This window comes from Homo sapiens, chromosome 20, assembly GCF_000001405.40.
Source record: "Homo sapiens chromosome 20, GRCh38.p14 Primary Assembly".
Taxonomy (NCBI): Eukaryota; Metazoa; Chordata; class Mammalia; order Primates; family Hominidae; genus Homo; species Homo sapiens.
The window spans coordinates 23,231,863-23,250,296 of record NC_000020.11 but is presented as its reverse complement, the minus strand read 5'-3'; the positions used below and the strand labels follow the sequence as shown (position 1 = coordinate 23,250,296).

Sequence of the window (18,434 nt, the reverse complement as noted above, 5' to 3'; positions counted from 1 at the left end):
TAACAAAGTGTCCAGGATATGTGTGTAGTGATGTTCATTGTGACTATTAATAATATTTAAAACTAGGAGTGGCATGTGCCCGGTGCCGAGCAATGCATTTTAGGATATGTATGCGTGGGATTCTCCACAGCTGGGTGCAATGACAATGCAGAACTGTATGCTCCAGAAGGATAATGAGAAGATCGGCTCATCCCAAATCCAGTAAAATGTCAGATAAGTATAAATCCTCAATGTGGGAAACTGCATTGGGTAGAAGTTCTGATGAATTTCTGAGAGAGAGAGAAAGTGGAAAGGATATGATCCATAAAGAAGCAGGGTAGAGGACCGCACAGCTCAGACACTGCTGGAGGTAAAAGCCTCACACATAGAAGCCATTGGGAATTCTGAAGCCAGAGGCCATGGATATAGAAAGCGAGGAAACTCCTGAGTAGCCTCAAGAAGCTGATCTGGGTAGGTGGATCTAACACCCCAGGCTGAGAGCTCTTTACTTCCCACCACCTTCTGCTGAGCAGAGAGAAGCGAAGGAAGAGGATCATACGGTCAACAGGGCAGTACAGCAGTGAGGCCAGCCAGGCTGGGTAGAGCACCAGAAATCCCGGCAGCTGGGAGTGAGAGGAAGGTACCTTCTTCATCTCAACCACCTCCAGCACCTCCATCACAACCCCTGCTGTAGGCTAAGATAAACTCAACAGGGATGACAAGGATTCTTAAGCACAGAGAGGAGCAAATCAGCACCAGAAAAGGCAGGCACTGACTCAACAAATGGAAATGACTTTCAAGGAAACAGAGCACACAGAATGCAATTTTAGCACACACACAAGTACTGTAAGTAATACCTTCGTATATGGTGTGTGTAGCCTTTCCAATACATGGGAAATTTCGTTATGTTCAAAAATGATACTTGGATTCAATTGTGATACTTGGATATAATTTTGGGAAAAAATAGATCCCTCTTTTCTGTCATTAATGTTTCTGGAAGTTCTTTATAAGAAAGAAAGAAATATAAAAACTAAAACTGCAGTTTATATGCATATGACATTTGTGAAAGGTTTTTTTTTTTTCCCTTAAAAACCTTTGTCTTCCATTACCTCTCTGAATACAACATAATTTACTACGGAATATGTATTCCTATTGCAATGCTTTCTTCCCGAGTAAGTATCTTTTCTTTTAGAAAGTCTCTTTTTTATTTAGTCTCTGTTTATTATTTAGGTGGACACATTTTCAAAAAACTCACAAAACTTATTAAGGAAAAGTGAAGGTTTTGATTACATAAAAATATTTTTAAAATTATCTGTGATAAAGGTACTACAAACAAAGTTAAAAGACATTTAAAAAACTAGGAGAAAAAATATACAAAGATTTAGTGCCAGACTATAGAAAGAAGTTCTAGAATCACTGTAGAAGACTCACTACATAGGGGCAAGGATGTGAGGAGGTTATTCACAGCAGTGGAGATGCTCTGGCCAATGTAAACATCACCAGTATTCAGGGAAATACAAACTAAAACAGCCATGAGATAATACTTTTCACCTATTAGGCTGGCAAACATTAAAGTTTGTAATGATTTCAAATGTTAGCAGGTGTGGGAAAACAGCTGTTCCAATTTCAGGAGAACACATCAGTACAGCTATTTAGAGAACAAACTGGTGTATTTATCAAAATAAAGAGTGTGCCCATGCTTTGAGTCAGCAGTTCCACTTCTCTGTGTCTGCTCCAGAGAAAGGGATGTGAGCTGGAGCCCTGGGAAGATGTTGACGGCAGCATTGTTTACTGGAGCAGGGAACGGCAGCAGCCAGAAGGGGATGCATGAGTGTGAGGGCTGATGGGGAAGGGGCTCTATTCATTTTTATGTTGTTTGAATCTTTTGCAATGTATTTGGGGACTCCAAAAAACCATTGGAAAGTTGAGAATAATAGATTGCAAGATGAACTCATTTTTATGAAAACAATTATGGATGTACATATATAAATATATATAATGCATACTGTAAAGAAAAACATCAAAACATGAGTGGTGTGAAGTAGGATCATAGTGAAGGGGAATTATAGGTATTTTCAATGTTTCTTGGCTTTGGTTCTTTTGATTTTCTAATTTTCCTACACAAACATAGAAAATTTCTGTAATATATGTTTTAAAAGGTGTCATCATCACCCAGGGATTGCCCGAATGACCTGGGTTGTCTGCGGAATACCATGACCTTGGGAGCGGTGGGTTCTGGGCCCAGCCTGCTCCACAAGGGAAGGGTAAGGACTGGGCTTGAGAGATGGGAGCTTGTGGGATCCTGCCCATAACCTGACTCAGGATCCCTGCCCATAATTCTGGGATCTGGCCGTCCCCCTCCTCCTTTCACAGGGGCTCTGGGTGGGGAACAAGGGCTTGTGTGTGATGGGGACTCCCCTTCAGGTTCTGCCAAAGTCCATTGGAACTTTCCACATGGCTCTAAGGAGTCTATTAAGGACAGCAAAGGCCAAATGTGTTACCAGTGCCCCTTTCATCCTCCCTGTGAGGCAGGAAACTGAGGCTCAGGACCCAACTCCTTGCCTAACTGGCCGAGGCTGGAGGAAGCACAGGCCTCCCTGACCCCAGCCTTCCTGGAGATCAGAAACCACCATTGAAGCATCAATATTCTTTTTGGGGTTTTGAACTTAAAATATGACCAGTGTTATGGCTCCAGAAAACATCTCGAGAGCTTGAGCCCTCCGGGGCTTTTACGTGGACAGGCTGCATTAGAAATATTGGTGCTAGGATAATACATCCGCTTTTGTTTCCAGGATCAAAAATTACTGGAAACCAGAACCACATTCTAAGTGTCTGAGCCGGAACAGGAACTGATACCCCTATTAAACGGGTCACTGGGCACCACTGCTGTGAGAAGTGCTGGCCATCTGTGAAAATCTCGGTGGCTTCAGCAGCTAAGAAAAGAAAACCTTTAGGGATAAAAACTATAGAGAGCACATTTTTCTCATGAGCATTAGGGAAAATTAGAAGATACTGTGGCTGAATTAAAGTTGTGCCTGGGCCCTGGAGGTGTGGCCAACTGTGCTAAGCGTTGCTGATGAACATTCAGCTACTGTCAGCCCCGGAGTGCAGCTGCGGCATCAGCACATCCCGCTGAAAAACACAGGGCTGGGTGGACCAAAGGCCACTTCCGTGGTCCTTTGCCAAAAGGTGGAGCCCGAAAATTCCAGACCAAATGTAATGTCTTGACCTGGGAACTAATTTTGCAAACAGCAGCCAAAGTTTCCTAAAAGTGGAGGTTTTGGAAAGAAAGGCAGAGAGCGAGGGTCGGGGTGGGGGAGAGCCAAAGAAAGCAACCTGTTTAGTGTATGAGCAGTGAATAATGAGTTAAAGGATGGGGTCATTTCTGTAATCTTGATGAAGGGTCGGTCCTTGCCTCAAGTAACCACGGGGGTGGGGTTGCCCTTCCAACTCCACTCACACTGGTTGCTCAGTCACTGGGTGAGTCCCGCCCTTTCCTTCAGCTGCTCTGGATAACGGGTTGATAATTTTGTTCTACAGAGAGACTCAGCATGCTCCTCTAGCATCCCATCGTCTCTTCTGTGCATAAGCAGTGGAGACGCTAGGCACACACTTTCCTTCCCTTTGAAACCTTTCAGATATTTATATCCAATTTATGCAAATATTTACATCCCCCAATTCATAGTGAGAAGTGACCCAGAAAACAGGAGACATAAGAGCATGGTGGTTAGGGACATGGGCCAAACATTTGCAAGGGATCCGGGCAAGTGCCCTAGCCTCACTAGGCCTCTGCCTCCTAATCTGTAGAAAGGGACTATAGCTGAGGATGGGCACACCGCTGGAGCGATCACCCATGCAAAGCTGATGGAGCTGGGCTGTTTTTATAGTAATTATCATAGACTTTCCTCTTGATACAACTGTTGTACAAATTCCATTAGCCTTAATTTTTCAAATTTAAGAGCGATTAGGATTCAAGTAGTAATACTAGGATTCCTTCAAGACAAGGCAGTTCATGGCTGAACAAGGCAGTCCATGGCTGAACAGTGTGATAGTAAGCTGTTGTAGTCTGCTTATTTTATTTACAACCAGAGTAGTGGGTCAGGATGAAAGAGGGGATGTGGGGAGGGGACACTCAAAAGCGCAGGGCAGGAGAGAGATAGCCCCAGGGAACCGGGACTTGGCCAAGTCTCCCCAGGACCCAAGGCTGACCGCTGAGAGCCCAGGGGGCAAGAAGGGATGCTCACTGCCTCACACGAGCGGTGACCAGAGGCTGATGTTTAGACAATAACTTGGTAGTCCACCTCCTTCTCTCCCTCCCTCTGTGCCAGCCGCTGAGCTCGACACCAAGGTGCATGTGTACTCCCAGCATCTGAGTTCCCATCAGCGCGAAGTGGCTTATCTGAGAGGCAATGCCAGGAAGCAGCCAGAAGAGAATGGGGAAGTGAGCCTGGGGAGCAGAGGCAGAGAATCAAGGTGTGTGCTCCAGCAGGGGCCGCTGTGGACAACTTCAGCTCAGTCCTGGGAGGAACCCTGGAGAACCAGTGTGAGTGCACACACAGACACACATACACAGACACACACACAGAGACACACACGCAGATACACACACAAAGAGACACAGACACAAATAGACACACAGATACAGGCACACACACAGACACAGACACACATGCAGATACACAGAGAGACACAGACACAAATAGACACACAGATACTGACACACACACAGACACAGACACATACACAGAGACACACAGAGACACAGACACACATACACAGACACACAGACACAGATACACACACACAGACACACAGATACACACACAGAGACACACACACACACACACACCAGCACTGTTCCTCCTGGGGCAAGGGAGCTCAGGTCTGCACACACACTGGCAGAGTCTCTGGGTGAGGGGTGCTCCCGGCCTGTTGCTTGTGTGCACCTGCGTGTACATGCAGACCTGCTCTTCTGGGGAAAGCTTCCAGGCACGGAGAAGCAGGCTCTGCTGTGGAGGTGGGCAGGAGCCATCAGGACGGGCAGGAGGAATAAGGCAGGTGCCTCATCAAGGCCTCACTCTAACGGGCAAGAGGGAGAGGTGAACGCCAGAGGGTGAGTGGAGAGGTCCTAAAGAGACTGATGGTGAGTAGGGCCAGGAGCTTTCCTGAGGGAGGTGGCCAGGTGGGGACCCGGGGATGGAGAGGAGTCCGTGAGGGGTGGGGCAGCGCCCGGGGTAGGGGAACTGCAAATGCCTTGAGAGAGGATGAGGACATTTTCATCTTTCCTGAGCTTTTAAGGAGAGGCGTCACTGTCCCATCCATATTTTAAGATCCCTCTGGTCCCCAAGTGGAGCCTGAGATGGGAGGGGTCATGCAGGGTCTGGGCGGAATCGTGGTCTGGACTGGGACCACGGCTGAGGGGAGCGGCATGGGGTGGACTTGGGATGTATTTAGGAGTGACCTTGGCAGCTGCCTTGGCTGTGGGAGGTGACAGCGAGGAAGGCGCGGAGGGCAACCTCGAGTCCGCCCTAGCGACTGGCAGAAGGCACACACTGCCCTGAGACCCCCGACTCTGTCCTCCTCCGTCCTGGGCCTGCTCCTCCCATCACAGACACCCTCCCTGAACCCTCTCCCGCTCTCGGGCCCTCCAGGTGGCCCAGGGCGCCGGCGCCACTCTGTCTCCTTAAGGTGTCAGTTCTGTGCACAGGGTGACCCGGGCTCTGGGCGCCAGTCCTGATGGGGCCACACGTTTCTTGCTTCATCCCCAGCAAGCCCATGAGCTTGTCTTATTTTCGAAAGCAGTAAACAGTGACTCAGTGTCCAAGTAGTCAATGCCAAGCTCAGCAAAATAAAGTCTCAGTAAGATCAGAATTCCAACTTCCTGGAAATGCATCTCGGAGAAAGACCATCGCCGTGGCTCCGTCGTTCCTTCTAGCCCTCAAGACAGAGCCTGCTGCCCTGAGTTTATGCTTGCTGCTCACACAGATCTGCCTGGTTCTGCGGTGACAGAGCCCTCTGCTGTGGGTTCTCTGCCCCGCCTGCAGCTCTGCTGTGGGCCAGCTGTGATTCGTTTTGTGAGCAAAAGTTCCCTGAAAAACAAAATTGGGAGGAAAGAGACTTCATCCCAGTGAACAGTTTGCAAACTGGGGAGACACAGCCTTTGGTGTAAAAGAAAGTTATCTTCCCGGGGCTAAAGAGAGGGTTTGGGTTTTGTAGCAAAGGTCCCACACAAGATCCCAATCGGGTCGGTTGATGCACATAAAGGAGTCAAACTTGCTTAGTTCTGATTGGTCAATGCAGCTGAGTTCTGATTGGATACAGGTGAGCCGTGATTGGTCAGCCAAACTTTGATTGCAAAGGTAGGTGAGCTCTGATTGGTTGGTTCAGGTAAGCTCTGAGAGTCCCAAAGCTAAAAAGGTGCTGGTTTTCAGAGTGCTTGTGTGAGTTACCTGTGTGACCTCTAATCAGCAAATAGCCACTCAGCTATATTTTAAATATAGGGCCAGTTACCCACATGGGACTCATCTTAAAGGATTGGCTCTTCCAGTTTTGCATTTTTTTTTTATTATACTTTAAGTTTTAGGGTACATGTGCACATTGTGCAGGTTAGTTACATATGTATACATGTGCCATGCTGGTGCGCTGCACCCACTAACTCGTCATCTAGCATTAGGTATATCTCCCAATGCTATCCCTCCCCCCTCCCCCAACCCCACCACAGTCCCCATGTGGAGAAATAGGAACACTTTTACACTGTTGGTGGGACTGTAAACTAGTTCAACCATTGTGGAAGTCAGTGTGGCGATTCCTCAGGGATCTAGAACTAGAAATACCATTTGACCCAGCCATCCCATTACTGGGCATATACCCAAATGACTATAAATCATGCTGCTATAAAGACACATGCACAGTATGTTTATTGCGGCATTATTCACAATAGCAAAGACTTGGAACTAACCCAAATGTCCAACAATGATAGACTGGATTAAGAAAATGTGGCACATATACACCATGGAATACTATGCAGCCATAAAAAATGATGAGTTCATGTCATTTGTAGGGACATGGATGAAATTGGAAATCATCATTCTCAGTAAACTATCGCAAGAACAAAAAACCAAACACCGCATATTCTCACTCATAGGTGGGAATTGAACAATGAGATCACATGGACACAGGAAGGGGAATATCACACTCCAGTTTTGCATTTGTTCACAATTTTCACAAAGGTGTCACAGTGGGGACAGCAGGGACTAGTCCAATTGTGTCCAAATGCTGATTCTGCCATGTGCTATCTGAGGTCTTGGGCACGGTCCTCATCCTGTCTGCTCTCCAGTTTCCTTCCCTGTATCTACCTAATCGGTTGCAGGAATGATCAAATGAGGTGCTGGGAAGCGTCATTAGCTGTTGCTGCTGCGGGAATTTGGCTGTTTCAGCTTCAGTTGCTGCAGCTGGTGGAGAGTGAGCTAATTAGCCTGAGCAGGGAGGAGTAGATGGTTTTTAAGAGAAAAGTCAACATTTCTCTCTGCTCTTTTTACCCCTTCTTCACAGAGCTTTTTTTACCTGAGCACATGGTTCTTGGGTGGCATCTGTGGTTTTGGCTCCAATAATTCTTTGGGTATTTAGGTCATGGCTTGGCAAATTATGATCCTTGGGACAAATCTGGCTAGCCACCTGTTTTTGCATGACCCATGGATTTTACATTTTTAGGCGGCTGGGAAGACTAATATTGCAAAACACCCCAAAATTATATGAAATTCAAAGTTCAGTGTGTATAATAAAGTTTTACTGGAACACAGTGACACAATTTGTTTATATATTGCCTATGGCTACTTTGAAGCTACAGCAGCAAGTTAACCAGTTGCAGCAGAGACTGGGTGGCCCCCACAGCCTGAAATGTTTGCTGTCTGCTCTTCACACAAGAAGTTTGCTCACCTGGTTCAGACTGTGAACTACCCTGCAAAGATATTAGGTCAAGCCCAAGGGTCAAGAAGGGTGCAGGCTGGCCCCTGTGTCTATTTCACTATCAGGGCCCTTCTGTGATTCCTCAGACATTTCCGTCCACAACCAGATGTAGGAAAATGTATGGACACTGGGGAGGGAGGGTGCTGAAGAGGAGAGGCTGGGGAGAGAGCACGTGTGTGTGTGAGTAGGCACCACAGAATGATGCTGGCAAATCCTAGGGCTGGTGGCCTGATGGGAACCAAGGCTCCTCTCTGCCCTCTCCAGCCAGGTGCAAATGTTTACCCGGTGGCTCCTAAGGAATGATGGGGACAAAACTTAAGTCATTGAGCTTTTTCTGACAAGCATAATGCCACATACATCTTGAATTCATCACGATTTTATTTTTAGATGTTTTCCTCACTACTTTCACTAAAGCCTCAGAGTCAAGAAAAATTCCAGGGGTCCTTTGCTGGTTGGTGAATTGAGGAGTGTCCCTGCAGTGGCATGGTGCCTGGTGATATGAGCCGGGTGGCAAGGGCAGTGAAAGTGTGACAGTTCTCCCCCAGCTCTGCTGAGGGCAGCATCCCAGAACTGGCCAGGCAGGGGGCCCAGGTTGCCTGGGCTCTGCCTCTCCTCTTCCTCCCTCAGACCTTCTGCTTCCCTTAGATGTCCTGTCAGCCTACTGTCCTGCCAGTCCTCTGAGCAGTGCCTCATGGACCCCACTTCTATCATCCACTTCCTCCCACCAGTGGATCCATCTGGTTGATGGAAAGAACCAGTGCAGGGACCTCACGTACATGAGTGAGCAAGTGCTGTAAACCCTTCAATAATTTGTACTTCAAAAGATGCTTGTTGGCCGGACATGGTGGCTCAAGTCTATAATCCCAGCATTTTGAGAGCCCGAGGCAGGCAGATCACTTGAGCCCAGGAATTCAAGACCAGCCTGAGCAAATGGCTGGTCTCTACAAAAAAACTCTACAAAAACATCTCTACAAAAAATTAAAAAATTAGCCAGCCATGATGGTTCATGTCTATAGTCCCAGCTACTCAGGAGGCTGAGGTGGGGGGATCTCTCAAGCCCAGGAGGTGGATGTTGCAGTGAACTGAGATAGCGCCACTGCACTCCAGCCTGAGTGACACAGGGAAGCCCCCCCAGCAAAGAAAAATATAAGATGTGTTGTTTTCCTAAAGGATTTTTTAAAGGCAAAAGCAAAGTCAATGCTCACTTCTATTGATTGATTGAAGTACAGTTGATCCTTGAACAACATGGGTCCATTTTAGACATTTTAAACTGTACAGTTCAGTGGCATTAAGTACGTTCGAACTATCACCACCATCCACTTCCAGAACCTTCTTTCTTTCCAAACTGAAACTCTACACCCATCAAACAACAACTCTCTATTCCCCTTTCCCCAAACACCAATTGTTTTTTAAGATTTATTCTTGTTGACAATGCATGAATAGCATGTTTATTTTAATCAATGTGTAGCATTCCAGTATATGAATATGTCATACTTTATCTATTTTGCTATTGGTGGATATTTAGGTCATTTCAGTTTTTACTTGTTGCAAATGGTGCTTTAAAAAAAACCACACCATGTATATTTCCTATTGTGCATGCATTTCAGAGATTGATACCTAGATTTTCTACAATAAAGTTTGCTGAGTCATGGGACAAGCTCAATTTTTAATATTATCTGATATTACCAGCTAGCTCTTCAAAGATGTCTCATCAGCAGTGTATACGAATTCACAATTTCCTAGCACACTTTCAACACTTGTTAGTGTAGGATTTGTTAGATTTTTCTTTCTTAAGAATTGAACATTTGGCAGGGTGTGGTGGCTCACACCTATAATCCCAACCTTTGGGAGGCCAAGGCAGGTGGATGAGCTGAGGTCAGGAGTTCAAGACCAGCTTGGCCAACATGGTGAAACCCCATCTCTATAAAAATACAAAAATTAGCTGGGCATGATGGCAGGTGCCTGTAATCCCAGCTCTTGGGGCAGCTGAGGTGGGAGAATCACTTGAACCTGGGAGGAGGAGGTTGCAGTGAGTTGAGATCATGCCATTGCACTCCAGCCTGGGTGACAAAGTGAGACTCTGTCTCAAAAAAAAAAAAAAAAGAATTGAACATATGATATTGTTATAGTGGATAGCTAGTCAAACACAAACAGGGCAGGAGAGGACGTCCACTTCCCCACCAGGAATGCCAGGTGACCATCAGGTGATGGTCAGGTGGTTGTAACACTCCCTCTCTAAAATAATAATTGGTCGCATCCAGTGCTAGGGAAAGGCAGTTTCCCAATAGATAAAAACACCTGTAACTGGTGATTGGCAGCCTCCTAATAAGATCTTAGGAACTGGACGAGTGGGCTCAGGCATGCGGATTAAGAGGCAAAATGAAAAAAAAGCAGGGTTGCAATCCTAGTCTCTGTCAAAACAGACTTTAAACCAACAAAAATAAAAAAAGACAAAGAAGGGCATTACATAATGGTAAAGGGAACAATTAAACAAGAGCTAACTATTCTAACTATATCTGCACCCAATACAGGAGCACCCAGATTCATAAAACAAGTTCTTAGAGACGTACAAAGAAACTTAGACTCCCACACAATAATAGTGGGAGACTTTAACACCCCACTGTCAATATTAGACAGATCAATGAGACAGAAAATTAACAAGGATATTCAGGACTTAAACTCAGCACTCTGGATCAAGTGGACCTAATAGACATCTACAGAACTCTTCACCCCAAATCAACAGAACACACATTCTTCTCAGTGCCACATGGTACTTATTCTAAAATTGGATCACATAATTGGAAATAAAACACTCCTCAACAAGTGAAAAAGAACTGAAATCATAACAATCTCTCAGATCACAGTGCAATCAAATTAGAACTCAGGATTAAGAAAGTCACTCAAAACTACACAATTTCATGGAAATTGAACAACCTGCTCCTGAATGACTTCTGGGCAAATAATGAAATTAAGGCAGAAATCAAGGAGTTCTTTGAAAGCAATGAAAACAAAGAGACAATGTACCAGAATCTCTGGGACACAGCTAAAGCAGTGTGAAGAGGGAAATTTATAGCACTAAATGCCCACATCAGAAAGCTAGAAAGATCTCAAATCAGCATCCTAACATCACAATTAAAAGAGGTAGAGAGGCAAGAGGAAACTAATCCAAAATTCTCTGAGCTAATTTAGCTCAGAGAAGAAGGAGATAGAGACAGGAAAAACCCTCCAAAAATCAATGAATCCAGGAGCTATTCTTTTGAAAAAATTAACAATATAGACCGCTAGCTAGGCTAATAAGAAGAGAGAGAAGAATCAAATAGACACAATGAAAAATGATAAAGGGAATATCACCACTAACCCCACAGAAATACAAACTACCATCAGAGACTACCATAAACACATCTATGCAAATAAACTGGAAAATCTAGAAGAAATGGATACATTCCTGGACACATACACCCTACCAAGACTAAACCAGGAAGAAGTCGAATCCCTGAAAAGACCAGTAACGAGCTCTGAAATTGAGGCAGTAATTGGTAGCCTACCAACCCAGGACCAGACAGATTCACAGCTAAATTATATCAGAAATAGGTGAGGAACTGGTACCATTCCTTCTAAAACTATTCCAAACAATTGAAAAGGAAGGACTCCTCCCTAACTCATTTTATGAAGCCAGTATTGTCCTGATACCAAAACTGGAAAGAGACACGACAAAAAAAGAAAACTTCAGGCCAATATCCCTGATGAACATTGATGTGGAAATTCTCAATAAAATACTGGCAAACAAAATATGGCAGCACATCAAAAATCTTATCCACCACAATCAAGTTGGCTTCATCCCTGGGATGCAAGGCTAGTTCAACATATGCAAATCAATAAATGTAATCCATCACATAAACAGAACCAACGACAAAAACCACATGATTATCTCAATAGATTCAGAAAAAGCTCAGCCTTTGATAAAATTCAACATCCCTTCATGTTAAAAACTCTCAATAAACTAAGTATTGGTAGAACATATCTCAAAATAATCAACCCACAGCCAATATCATATTGAATAGGGAAAAGCTGGAAGCATTCCCTTTGAAAGCCTATACAAGACAAAGATGCCCTGTTTCACCACTTTTATTCAACATAGTATTGGAAGTTCTGGCCAGGGCAATCAGGCGAGAGAAAGAAATAACGGGTATTCAGATAGGAAGAGAGGAAGTCAAATTGTCTCTGTTTGCAGACAACATGATTCTATATTTAGAAAATCCCATCATCTCAGCCCCAAAACTCCTTAAGCTGATGAGCAACTTCAGCAAAGTCTCAGGATACAAAATCAATGTGCAAAAATCACAAACATTCCGAGCCAAGTCATAAATGAACTCCCATTCACAACTGCTACAAAGGGAATAAAATACCGAGGAATACAGCTAACAAGAAATGTGAAGGACCTCTTCAAGGAGAACTACAAACCACTGCTCAAGGAAATAAGAGAGGACACAAACAAATGGAAAAACATTCCATCCTTTTGGGTAGGAAGAATCAATATTGTGAAAATGGCCACACTGCCCAAAGTAATTTATAGATTCAGTGCTATTCCCCTCAAACTACCATTGACATTCTTCACATAATTAGAAAAAACTACTTTCCATTTCATATGAAATCAAAGAAGACCCTGTATAGCCAAGACAATCCTAAGCAAAAAGAACAAAGCTGGAGGCATCACGCTACCTGACTTCAAACTACACTACAAGGCTACAGTAACCAAAACAGCATGGTACTGGTACCAAAACAGACATATAGACCAATAGAACAGAGACCTCAGAAATAACACCATGCATCTACAACCATCTGGTCTTTGACAAACCAGACAAAATCAAGCAATGGAGAAAGGATCTCCTATTCAACAAATGCTGCTGGGAAAACTTGCTGGCCATATGCAGAAAACTGAAACTGGAGCCCTTCCTTGCAGCTTATGCAGAAATTAACTCAAGATGGATTAAAGACTTAAATGTAAAACCCCAAACCATAAAAACCCTAGAAAGTGATTCAGTGCAGCTCCAAAGCTCCCTGAAGCTTAGGCCCACAGACAATACAATTTTGTCCTAAGTCTATTAAAGTTTGACCACAGGACTCCACACTCAATTCCCTGCTTGTCACAGTCTGTGCTCTGAATTTTACATACGGTTGCTTCTTATGTTGGGATTTTAATTATAATGTCTTTGCTAGAGAACTTGCAAGAAGAAAGATGAAAATAAGATGTTGTCTTGACAACAAGGACACTGGGGCCTGACAGTGTTTTCCATGGAATCTGTAAAATTCATTCTGTGCACTTTCCACACATAACCCTTGGTGGAGATGCTCCATGCATGGAGTGTCATGGGAGAGGTTATATAACCCGGTATTAGCACCATTCCTAGCCAAATATAGCCTTCCCCACTTATTTTATTTTTAACTCTTTGAACAATGACTTCATATTCATAAGGCAAATAATAAGATTTTCTGTAGGTGGCAAATCTGGAGAAAACATGTTTTTTCCTAGACCCGAGAGGGAAACACGCTGTCCCAACCCCAGGCATCCTGGAAATGCAGCCTAGCCACCTCCCTCACTTCTACCTCTGTCAGCTTCCTCCTGACAGTGGCATAAAAGTGCCAGAAACTTATTTTTGCATCAAAACAAAGCTCAGCTATGGCATATAAGGCCGATGTTCTTGGTCTGGCATGTCCTTGTGTCTCTCTGTACTCTGTAGTTGACATGGCCAGATGTGTTTTTCTGAAACAGTGTCTTTTGGAAGTTTACCTGGAATCCTGCTCTTTTGCCTAGGAGACACTCAGGAAGGGACTTCAGGCTTGCAGAAATGTTTGGCCCTAAAAGGACAGTTCCACCTTTCTCTCCTGGACTTATTGCAGGTCAATTAATTGACACTGTCACTGGAAGGCCATACCTCTTTCAATGGACTATGTATTACTCAATCGAGTCTAGGCTTACCTGCACTGCTAGGTAAAAAGTGTAGAAAGATTAAACTTGTTCATCAGTTTCTCACAATATTCTGTCAACTGAATGTATGCATGTAGTCGTTAAGGATTTAAAAAGGTATGCGGACTGAAAAAATATTACTATAAAGTACACTGTAGGGACAACTGATAAAATTTAAATGGATACTGTGGATTAGATAACAGTATTGCATCAATGTAAAATGTTCTGATTTTGGTAATAATACTATAGGTATGTGTATAAGAAATTGTCTGTATTTTTAGAAATCATACTGAAGTAATCATCAGTAAATTAGGGAATATTTCTCCAACTTAACTCTCAAATAGCCAAGGAAAAGTCTGTCTTTTTCTCTCTTGCTTTCATTGCAAATGGAGAAATAGGTAATTAATTGGTGAATCTGGGAAAATGGCAAAACAGAGATCCTTGTACTATTTTTTGCAATTTTTTTAAGCTTAAAATTATATTGAAGTAAAAAGTTAACCAAAACCAGATGTGTTTTGGAGAAAGCAACTATAAGGTGTGTGTATAACCAGGATGGCCTGCTCCAAGTGGAGCGTAAACGCAATCCTGCTGTTTATTTTTCAGCCACTAAAATTTTATTGTCCTTATGCGTCTTAATGCCTTAAAGGCAGGAAGGACAACATCCCTTCCTTGAGCCACCATAGGGCTTATAAACAGAAGAGGGTCAGTCTTCACACCTAAGTGGGGAAAAACCTGCACCTACTCCATTACTACCATTCCTTCTTCCTGCCACACGGTGTCGCTGTTGGAGACGGAGCGCACAGATTCAGCAGTGCTGTGCTGGCCCAGGGCCGGGCAAATGAAGCCTTGGGTTTGCATGGAAGCTAACATGGAAGCTGTGGGCTGTAGAATGGGGAGGGAGACTGACGCCCTTGTGGGAAATAGTGGCAAGGCTTCAAGTTGTTGGAATAGCTTTGACCTTGATGGAGGGGTAGGTTTATTTAGGAAGAGAGGAATAGGGAGCAGCACACAGAGGTCCCTGCTGTGTACAGAGCAGTAGGTTGAAAATGAACCCAGTGTGTGATGGTCAGGAGCAGAGTTCTTACAGACAGGACAAGGGGCTGCTTCTTAGAGTCTTTGGTAGTTTGGGTTCCTGGAGCTGTTTTCTTGTTTGTAAGCTGTGCCCTGGCAGGTACTTGATAATATGCAAGGAATGAAAGATTTTGCAGCAGCTAGGTGTTTACCATAGCATATGGCAGAACTGGCTGCAATCTTTCACCACTCTCTATATCTTGACCTTTGCAATATGACTTGGCAGCTCCACTGACTTACTCCCCACTAGAACCTGAGCTGACCTCATGACTTGTTTCAGCCAGTGGAATGAGGTAGAAGGGGTTCTGGGTCAATTCTGAGACTGCACCTCAATATGCCTTGAGTGCTTTTGCCTCGTTTCTTGGAACCATGTCCAGCTTCCATGTAAACAAGCCCCTCCTAGCCTGCTGGAGGGTGAGAGGCCACAAAAGCAGAGATGAGCTGTCTGAGCTGAGGCCATCCTCAACCAGCCAGCCCTCAGCTGGCCCAACAGCTGCTGCCTATGCATGAGTCAGCCAAGCTCGGATTGAAAAATGCCCAAATTGTGAGAGGGATGCATGGTTTTGGTGCTTAACCTTGAACAAAATGCCAAATAACAGACCTCACCCCCCTCTACAGAGAAAGATGTCCACTTCCTAATCCCCAGAATCTGTGAATATGTCACCTTCCATAGGAAAAGGGCCTTTGTGAATGTGATGAAGTTAAGGGTCTTGAAATGGGGAGAGAGCATCCCAGACTATCCAGGTTGGCCCAATGCAATCACAAAGGCCTTGTTAGAGGGACATGTGGAGGTCAGACAGAAGACAAGTTATGGCAACAGACAGAGACTGGAATGATGCAGCCCACGAATGCCAGAGGCCTCTAGCAGCTGATAAGGCAAAGATCAGATTCTCCCTGCAGCCCCTAGAAGAAGCCAGCCCTGCAGATGCTTCAATTTTAGCCCAGGAAGACTCACTTTGGACTTCTGGCTCACAGAACTGTAAGAGAATAAATGTGTAGCTTTTTTTTTTTTTTTTTTGAGATGGAGTTTCTCTCTTGTCGCCCAGGCTGGAGTGCAATGGTGCAATCTCTGCTCACTGCAACCTCCGCCTCCTGGGTTCAGGTTTGACTGATTCTCCTGCCTCGGCCTCCCAAGTAGCTGGGATTACAGGTGTATGCCACCACGCCCAGATAATTTTTTGTATTTTTAGTAGAGATGGGGTTTTACCATGTTGACCAGGCTGGTCTCGAACTCCTGACTTCAGGTGATCCAACTGCCTCGGCCTCCCAAAGTGCTGGGATTACAGGCATGAGCCACCGCACCTGGCCAAATGTGTGGCATTTTAAGTCATTAAATTTGTGGTAGTTTGTTACAGGGGCAATAGGAAATGTGGTGGCTTGTTAGGCAGTAAAAACTGACTGATAGCCTTGTGGAAGCCTTAAGACAAGAAAGAGAAAAGGGTGGTGCTAACACAGATGAGAAGGGTATGTGCTTAGAGGCACCAATAAGTAATGCTTTAGCAGATATTTTGAGGAAAATGTTTTTCAGGATACCTGCTTTAAAAAAATATATAAGAGACATTCATTTACTGGTGAATCTCTTGGTTAACAAGCATCTATGTATTATGTGCTGGATGGAGGAAGAAGACTCAAAGACAAATGAAACTTTTTCCATGCCCTTATGAAACTCATGATTGCCCCACTCAGAGCTTGTCCTTTATGAAGTTGGGCCGGATGCAGGGGCTTGTCCTTAAAGGAGCCTCACAGCACTTCCTGATGAGCCTGGCCTCCCCTCCTCACCCCTCACCTCTCCTCGCACACTCTGGCTCCCTTTACGCCAGCCTCTCTGTTCCTCGATCCTTGGTGCATTTTTCTCTCCTTTTTTGTCTCTGTCCCTCTATCCTTGGTGCATTTTTCTCTCCTTTTTTATGTGATGAACAGTAGAGGCCCAAGTTTTCCATCCGCACCTTCCCCCAAGCTGAGCCTTAGTCTCTCGCCCTTGGCTTGGCACACGCATGACAACTCCTTGCAAAAGGACTCCTTTATTCGAACGGGTCGCCAGGACCACCCCAGCCTCTTCTGAAGATGTGTCCCCCGCAAAGCCCTGCCCCAGCCTGCCCTCACTTCCTACACAAAGGCCTGGACAGCAGTCACAGCTGGGGTTGGGCCCCAACATGATCCACGTGGTCTGAGACATTCTCTGATAGCCTCATGAGCAAAGTGCCACGGGGACGTGGAGAGGGCGGGGATGTCTTCTTCCCAGGGCCAGGGAAAGCTTCTCCCGAGAGGGCACAGAGAAAGCTTTTTTACAGCAGGTAGCTGGGACAGGGAAGGGCTTCCACCTACAGGTAAAGCAGGGCAGAGGTGCAAAGGCACAGAATGACACAGTATCAAAGGGCAAGCCTCAAAAGCTAACATATGATTCCCCCACAAATATTTTGGTATCAAATATTTACTTAGTTCATTAGTGAGAGAACTAAAATGATAAAGCTGGTTCAAAGGACTGGAAAAACTGACAGTGCATATCAGAATGAGAGAGTCCAATGATAAAGTCAGATACGCGACTGATTAATGTCCTGTAGGACAATGGAACCACTATCTTTCAGGTTATTTACTCTGCCAGCAGAAAGGGTTGCAATGTATCAATATTCAACAAGTTAACATCCAACTTCATAGAGTCTGGTCCTTAACCAACAAACAATTTAATTTTTTAGTGCGATGTCACCCTAAAACTCAGCAGCCTAAACCAGCACACATTTCTTGTGTTGCACAGTTTCTGAGGGTCTCTATGAGGTTTCGGTCAGGCTGTGAGCCTGGGCTGCAGTCTTCAGAAGGTGCTTCACAATCCGCTTCCAGGCTTACTCAGGTGGCTCTTGGCAGAGGCTCCAGATCTTCTCTGCGTGAAGGGGGCCTCTCTGTACGGCTGGTCACAAAACCTGGTGGCTCCTTCCCCCAGGGAGTGATGAAAAGGGACATGGGGAGGGAGGGGAAGGGGGAGGAGTCAAGATGAAAGCCACAGTCTTTTTATAACCTAATCTCAGAAGTGGCAGCTCATCACTTCCTTTGTGTTCTGTTCTCTAGGTGTGAGTCTCTAGGCCTAGCCCACTCAAGGGGAGGGAAACTAAGTTCTACCCTTTGGGGAAGGATTATCAGAGTGTGTGGACATTTCTTAAAAACCACCATATTACCTCCCCTAGGAAATCTGGTCACTCTCAGGCAGGCCTACTTGGCAGCCAATGCTCTGGTGTGGCTGTCAGAGGGTCACATAGTAATCTTTTGACTCATCCCCATGTTTTGGGTAATTCTTCATAACAAAGGCATATTTAGTGACACCAGGTCATCCAGCAGGATTGGGCAGAATAGGAGAAGAGACAGGCTAAAAGGACAAGCTGGCAGGGTGGGAACGGGCCTGGAATACTGGAATATCTTGTCACATGGGGACACTCTCCTGTGGCCTTAGTGTGGGCTCCGGGGC

General features: G+C 45.0%; 3 annotated features.

Moving 5' to 3' along the window:
• Positions 4,291-4,585: a silencer, noted in NCBI's record as "tiled region #15236; K562 Repressive DNase unmatched - State 12:CtcfO". NCBI's record gives its function as "represses a minimal TATA promoter and a strong SV40 promoter by Sharpr-MPRA in K562 cells {active_cell/tissue: K562}" and the evidence as "EXISTENCE:reporter gene assay evidence [ECO:0000049][PMID:27701403]".
• Positions 14,571-14,865: a silencer, noted in NCBI's record as "tiled region #11415; K562 Repressive DNase unmatched - State 12:CtcfO". NCBI's record gives its function as "represses a minimal TATA promoter and a strong SV40 promoter by Sharpr-MPRA in K562 cells {active_cell/tissue: K562}" and the evidence as "EXISTENCE:reporter gene assay evidence [ECO:0000049][PMID:27701403]".
• Positions 17,878-18,078: a silencer, noted in NCBI's record as "peak4168 fragment used in MPRA reporter construct". NCBI's record gives its function as "represses an SCP1 promoter by STARR-seq MPRAs in K562 erythroleukemia cells {active_cell/tissue: K562}" and the evidence as "EXISTENCE:reporter gene assay evidence [ECO:0000049][PMID:32103011]".